At 41.1% G+C, this 7,246-nt stretch overlaps 1 annotated feature.

The window, feature by feature from the left end:
* Window positions 1,751-2,950: an enhancer, noted in NCBI's record as "MED14-independent group 3 enhancer chr14:32489479-32490678 (GRCh37/hg19 assembly coordinates)". NCBI's record gives its function as "activates an origin of replication core promoter dependent on BRD2, BRD4, P300/CBP and CDK7 cofactors, and independent of MED14, by STARR-seq in HCT116 cells {active_cell/tissue: HCT116}" and the evidence as "EXISTENCE:reporter gene assay evidence [ECO:0000049][PMID:35650434]".

Genomic DNA, 7,246 nt, shown 5'->3' on the forward strand with positions numbered 1-7,246 from the left:
GGACAAAGCAAAGAAGAATTCAGCAACTGCTGCTTAAAAACTCATTCACTACTTTAGAAATCGAGACAAAGTGAAAGACATGGATGGAATGAATTCAGCCCCTCCTCCTATTGTTTCTCTAGCAAGAAGGTGACCAAAGCTATAAATGTTTGTTTCCTGAAAACTAAAGTCCTGACTTGTCATCTTCATAGTGAAAAGAACCTCAAACGTATTAGTTCTTATGAGCCCACATGCTATAGTTAAACCAGCTCTCAATTGTTTATTTTAAATAATCAAATTGTTTTGTTGGTGTCTTTGTGTTTGTAGGTAAGTGTTTGAAGCTATAAATCATATCTTGAACTAAGTTCAAAATTTGAGTCAAACCAACACAAGTTGTCTGATTGCATTCCTGACCCACATGGATATCCCTTGTGTATAAAACAAGTTGCCCCATCTTGATCCTTTCCAATTTGTGATCTCCCTGACAGAACACCAGCCATGGGGGTTGTGGCTTCTCCACAAACCATCTCTTGACAAGTTCAGTCCCAGTGGTCTCTCATGGCCACCTGGCATAACTCTACTTACAGCCACACAGTCAAACATTTAATTGTTTAATTATTTTGCACAGAATGATCCTGTCTGTCTCCCAGAATCTAAGCTCTAGGAGGGAGTGAGGAGGGTAGGAAGCGTGTCTTCTGAGTTTTCTTCTACATTCAGTGCTCGAGGGCTGGGCACAGTACGAGGCACACACCTAAGACTTTGCAGGTCTTAAAGTCTTTTTACAGAAATGTTCTCACTTAAACTTGATGTATAGTAGGCTGCTTGGCCTACTTGCTTCCAAAAAGCTGGCTCTGGGTTCTTTGAAAGTGTTTCTCCCGGGATACGTGATCGTGGCAGTTAATATCAGCCAGAATACTTTTCTGACAAGTCCCCAGGCAATCATCACGAGCAGGGACTTAGAGACAGGGCTTTTCTGTGTCAGAGCCAGAATTCAGAAAGGCTCTGCTTTTCTTGGTTAAAAGAGAGCCAGGATTTTTTTCTTTTCAGCACCCGTTTGCGCTGACCTCTTTTTCTGGCTTCTCAGTAAAAGGAATAAGGACTCAGGAAGCACTGGGGGGAAAACGGTTGTTTAGCTGGAGAGAGGGCTTAGGCAAGGCTAACACTGTGGGCTGGAAAAGCCACCGACGAGCTTCCATTTTTCTTTCTTATTGTTCTAAAAACCCAGGTTACTGTCCAGCCCTGAGTCATCTCATAGTACATGGAAATATATCTATTAAGTACATTGAGTTAAACTGTTCTCTCAAGGAAGCCCTGCCAGGGAGTTAGCAGGGACATAGGGTGCCCAAACATTGGGACAATTCATTAACCAGCACCCTAATAACCTAAATTATTCATGTCAGCTTGGACCCCAGAAGGGTCCATTCTCTTCTGAGAATGGGGCCCATGGCAATGTGCTGATCCTTACATGCGACATCATGTGGGTGTTTAGCTAAATAATAAATACATTGATATGCTTAAAAAATAAAAACTGATTCAGGCAATAGGTGAATGTATCTTTCTTTCTTCTAAATTTCTCTAGATAACCTTCTTTGTCATTCTGAATTTTATATGATAGAAAACCATCTACAGGTCTACATTGGAAATACTGAAAATAATTTTATTGAAGTCTGATAATGGGTGAAAACTACTGGATCTCATGGCTCATTCCTGACCTGAGCTGGATTTAATTCCAGAACCGAGGAAGGCTATGAAGTGATCCTCTTTTCATTATCCTTATTTTTTACTGTAATTTTGTAGTGGTTTCAGTGAGGAACAGAACCACAGAAATCCTTAGGGGCTTATCATCTAAGTTGGATATAGAAACAGAAAAGTAAGGCACCCAACAAGAAGCCAATTTTCTAAAGAAAAGGGAGTCCCAGAGTTTCTACTTTTATAATTCTTCCTTCCTCTGTCATTCTACAATATCATTGTCTTCAACATTTTTTAGAACAGTCTGCCCAGATATGATCTGGAAAACAAAGAAGCATGGAGAACAAACTTTGCCAGAAGAAACAGAAGTGCACTGGGGGGCACAGGTGGAGCAGCTTTGCTGTGATCTTGGCAAGAAAGCACTTGGGATCCTTAGGGGCCACTCAATCCTCCCCTCCATACCCTCACATGGTGGCCTTGGATTCCCAGCAGAGCCTCTGTGCTATGGCACCTGGAGGTTGAAGATGTTATAGTCTCGCCAATGCACAACAATTTAGCAGTCTCTCATTGTGAGGTATCACCCGGAGTTCTTTGTCTCACAACCAAGAGAATTAAGGAGCGTGGACACAAAGGGTGAGGTTGGAGCAAAAGTTTCATAAGTGAAAGAAGAAAGCTCTCCGCCTCAGCGATAGAGCCCGGAAGAAGGTTGCTGCTTTTACAGTTCAATGTAAAGGCTTTTACAAGAAACTGTTGAGGGCTGGGTGTCTCATTTGCATAAGGCACAGATTTCTGGTAGCTCCACCCTGTCATTCTAGTGCGCATGTGGGCCCTTAGCTTGAGTTACTCCATACTGCTTTGTTCCCTTTACTGAGCATGTGCTAGAGGACAGGATTTTTCCATTGCGGGCATGTCTGGGCAAGTCACCTGTGTAGCCTTTCTTATCTGTGCAGCTGTGGACATATCTTAGGTAAGCCCCCCACCCTGTGCACGTTCCCTTATCTGTGCCTGCAGCTTGAGTTTTCAGGCTGTTCTTTTGTTTGAAAGAATTCAACTGAGGACTCACCCTAACTCCCTTCTTGACCAGTTTCTTTCTTTCTCCTCTCTCAGAGAGATCCCAGTAGCAGCCAGATTGGGACCCCTGCCTCCCATAAGATGTTTACATACTGCAGCCAGCCCTATGGGAGCCAGGAAGGCCTGCAGAACTAGATCCTGCTCAGTTGAAGTAGGACGAGGGCTTAATTACACACCCTCCCCCCATTAAGTCCTGATTTCCACACATGAGGCTGCTATTAGGCCCACAGTCTATTTAAGAATGCTCCCAGGACAGATTAAAGAAAATCAGTCTGAGCCTCTTAGGAGGGAGCATCTCATCTCTACTAGAGGAGGAAGCAGTACATGGTGAACAAAGCCAACAGAGCAGCTAGAACCAGAGAAGGCAGGGCTTAAACCCTGGCTTAATAAGGACAAGATGGCTGAGTGCAGTGGCTCACGCCTATTACCCCAGCACTTTAGGAGGCTGAGGCGGAAGGATCACATGAATCCAGGAGTTTGAGACCAGCCTGGGCAACATAGTGAGACCTCATCTCTACAAAAAGTAAAAATTAGCTGGGCGTGGTGGCTCACACTGTAGTCCCAGCTACTTGGGAGGCTGAGGTGGAGGATCACCTGAGCCCAGGAGGTGGAGACTGCAGTGAGCTGTGAGCATGCCACCATACCCTATCTTGGGTGACAGAGTGAGACCTTGTCTCACAAAAAAATATATATTATATATATATTTTTCATATATATGTATATATATGTGTGTATATATGTATATATATGTATATATGTATATATGTGTATATATACGTATATATGTGTATATATATGTATATATGTGTATATATGTATATATGTGTGTATATATGTATATGTGTGTATATATGTATATATGTGTGTATATATACATATATATATGAAAGAAGGCATGTGATGAGCATTCTGCTTCCTGCTTCTATATAATTTTTATATGTGTGTGTGTATACATATATACATATATATATACATATATATATATATATATATATATTAGATGGGATTGTCCTGCAGCTAGTAACAGAAAATCCACTATATCTATAGTTCGTTTACTTAAGAAAATCTTGAGCTAGGCAGTCCCAGGTCCCCTTTTGGTCACAAAATGGTTGCCATAACTCCAGGCATCCTAACCTCACAAAGCCGTTTCCAAAAGCAGGAAGCAGAATGCTCATCACATGCCTTTTTTTTTTTTTATTAACTATAATAGTAACTAACATTTTCTCGGCATTTACTTTATGTCAGGTGCTATCCTGAGCACTTTGTAGGTTTTAATTCTACAGCCGATTAAAAAAAACAAAGCATAAAAAGCAGAATTAACTTTCTCAGTATGACACAGGCAAGAAGTGATAGAACTGGGACTTAAACTCTGGCAGTTCAGCTCCAGAGCCCTTACGGTGTCAAACCACTTCTCCATTAAGGAAGAAGAGGTTTCCCAGAAGCACCTCAATACACCTTACCTTATGTGTCATTGTTTAGACCTGTGTCACATGACTGCCTGGCAGCAAGGGAGGCTGAGAGAATACAAGTAACTGCCTATTTCAACCTTAAGGAAGATGGGGGCTGTGAAGGTCAGTTGAATAGCCAACCGATAGCGTCCACCATGGTTACAAAAGTAGCAATGGGCTTTGTTACAGGGGAAAGGTCTGGTACACTAAGGACCCTTAGGTGAAAGGCCGAGGTCACTGGGCTATTTGGCTCACTGCCATTGAGAGAAAAGCCAAGATGCCACTGACAACCAGCTAGAAGTGGTGAAAATGCCAGCAGCCTCACAGTCTTATCTTCCATGCAGTCACTGGAGTATCTGTGCATAAGCAGTTTTTACTAAATTCTTCATCCTGATTTAATGGGGAGGAAATCAGATGCAACAGGTATGGTTCTTTGTGCTTGTTGAATGGCTTTAAAACAAGCTTTCAGATACTGGTTGCCATAGGGGAAGGCAGCAGGAGGACAAATCAGCTGTATTTTAAGCTAATTACCAAAATGTTGCAATACCTGTCAGATAGGGACATTTTGTTCCAGTGTCAGTGTTTGTGGAACAAAACACTGGGAAGGAAGGAGGAGTATTACGTAGGCAATTTGTTCTACATATGCTCGAAAAAAGCCTCTCAGATACCTGACACAGTTACATTCCAAGTGTTATTGTACCTGCTTATAAACTTGGGTAGAATCTCATTTTATAAGCTTGAAGAGACTTCCTAATTGCTACATTTAGACCCAAAGCTCATTAAACTTGAAGCCTATTGCTATAATATACTAAAACATACTGTATTGTTTCCTGGGTTTAAAATTCCTTGCACAAAGCAAATGTTAGGTGTACAATTCATTTGCAAGTGACATGTTGGGGGATGGAGGAAGAGGTGGGCACCAAGGGATGTGCTTGGCTTGTTCCAACACATTAAAGCCGGAGAAAGTAAATGATGCTGCATCCTTGCGCAATGACTGTATTTCAATGCAACACAATATTTTAATAAAATATGACACACTTTTCAAATGTTAGGTGGTTATGTCAGAGGCATGTGAACCAGAGCAACTCCATCTTAAACAGGAAGTGGGTAAAATGAGGCTGAAATCTACTGGGCTGCATTCCCAAATGGTTGAGGCATTCTAAGTCACAGGATGAGATAGGAGGTCAGCACAAAATTCAGGTCATAAAGACCTTGTTGATACCTTCGCCCACTTTTTGATGGGGTTGTTTGTTTTTTTCTTGTAAATTTGTTTGAGTTCATTGTAGATTCTGGATATTAGCCCTTTGTCAGATGAGTAGGTTGCGAAAATTTTCTCCCATTTTGTGAGTTGCCTGTTCACTCTGATGGTAGTTTCTTTTGCTGTGCAGAAGCTCTTTAGTTTAATTAGATCCCATTTGTCAATTTTGGCTTTTGTTGCCATTAAAATAGGTTGCAATAAAGGAGCCAGCCAAAACCCACCAAAACACAAATGGCAATGAGGGTGACCTCTGGTCATCCGCACTGCTACACTCCCACCAGAGCCATGACAGTTTACAAATGCCATGGCAACATCAAGAAGTTACCCTATATGGTCCAAAAAGGGGAGGCATGAATAACCCACCCCTTGCTTAGCAGATCTTCAAGAAATAGTCCTAAAAATGGGCAACCAGCAGCCCTCAGGACTTCTCTGTCTAGGAGTAGCCATTCTTTCATTCCTTTACTTTCTTAATAAGCTTGCCTTCACTTTGCACTGTGGACTTACCCTGAATTCCTTCTTGTGGGAGATCCAAGAACCCTCTCTTGGGGTCTGGATTGGGACCCCTTTCCTATAACAGTTATGTTTTGCAGTTTTATAAATTGCAAGGTTGTTCATTTTTGCCCCAATTTTTCTTTCTCTTTTTTGGTCATTATAATAGTACTAACAGCTAAGGAATGCTATAAAATGAGCAGGGTTTTGAACTGCCGTTAGTCTATTCAGAAAATAATTAAAGGTACACTGAAGACAGTTTGCAATGAGAAGACACTGAGAACTCACAAAGCAAACCTATCCAGCTCTGTTTTCTCTCCCGGGCCCTAGTGAGCTATCACCTCCACTGTCACTAATTTCCCTGAGCCTCAGTTTTCTGATCTACAAAATAGGAATCCATGATCCTATGGACTCCATGATCTCTGAAGCTTGTGATCTCCAGGACCTTTGAAGTTCTGAAGTTCTAACGTTCAATGATGCTACACACTCTGAGTCAGGATTTAACAAAATTTCCAAATTTTACTGACATGCTTTTCTGTATGCTGCTAAGAATGTTTAACAAAGAGATAAAACACTATATAATAAGAAAAATATCTTCATTCAAAAAATAGACTATGAAAAGGATAAACGCTTTGTGTGACCAGGACCTTTTTTCTTCATACTGTTTCCTGTATCCTCACTGACAAATAATGCTAATATGTGAAACCCTCTCAAGGCATGGAAATAGCCTTGTTCAGTTGGATGTTAAAATGGCATTTTCCATGCATTATGCATTATGAATGGAAGGTTAATGAAATTGTGCATGTCTCAGTTTTCACTCTGCAGGTTATTTTGCAATAGGGACGAGACTATCCTACCTTTAATTTCGTGTTTTATTAAATTAAATGCATTTCAAAGAAAGGGCCATTTTATTCCACTGTTCTGTCTTTTTTTCACTAGCAAGATGGCATGCTAAATGCTTTTTCCTGTTGATTCTTTTAAAAGTCTGTGGTTTCCAGTGAATTTGATATAAGCACACACTTTCGACATAGAAGAAATAACTATGAATTTATTTGAGTCAGAAGTCCTTAAAACTGAGACAGGAGCTTCCATTTGGACTTTAAACATATCCCTTAACTCAATAGTTCTCACCTAGAGGGCTGTTCCCACTGGGTGGGACAACATTTGATCTGTATGATGGTCCCATGCATTGTATGGTATGAGCATCCCTGGCTCCCACCCACTAAATAATTGCGACAACCATCATTGTGACAACCATCCCAGCTCCGCACACATTTCCAAATGCCAGCTTCTCTGAAAGAGTCCAAATTGG

The sequence above is a fragment of the Homo sapiens genome, chromosome 14, assembly GCF_000001405.40.
Source record: "Homo sapiens chromosome 14, GRCh38.p14 Primary Assembly".
Classification (NCBI taxonomy): domain Eukaryota; kingdom Metazoa; phylum Chordata; class Mammalia; order Primates; family Hominidae; genus Homo; species Homo sapiens.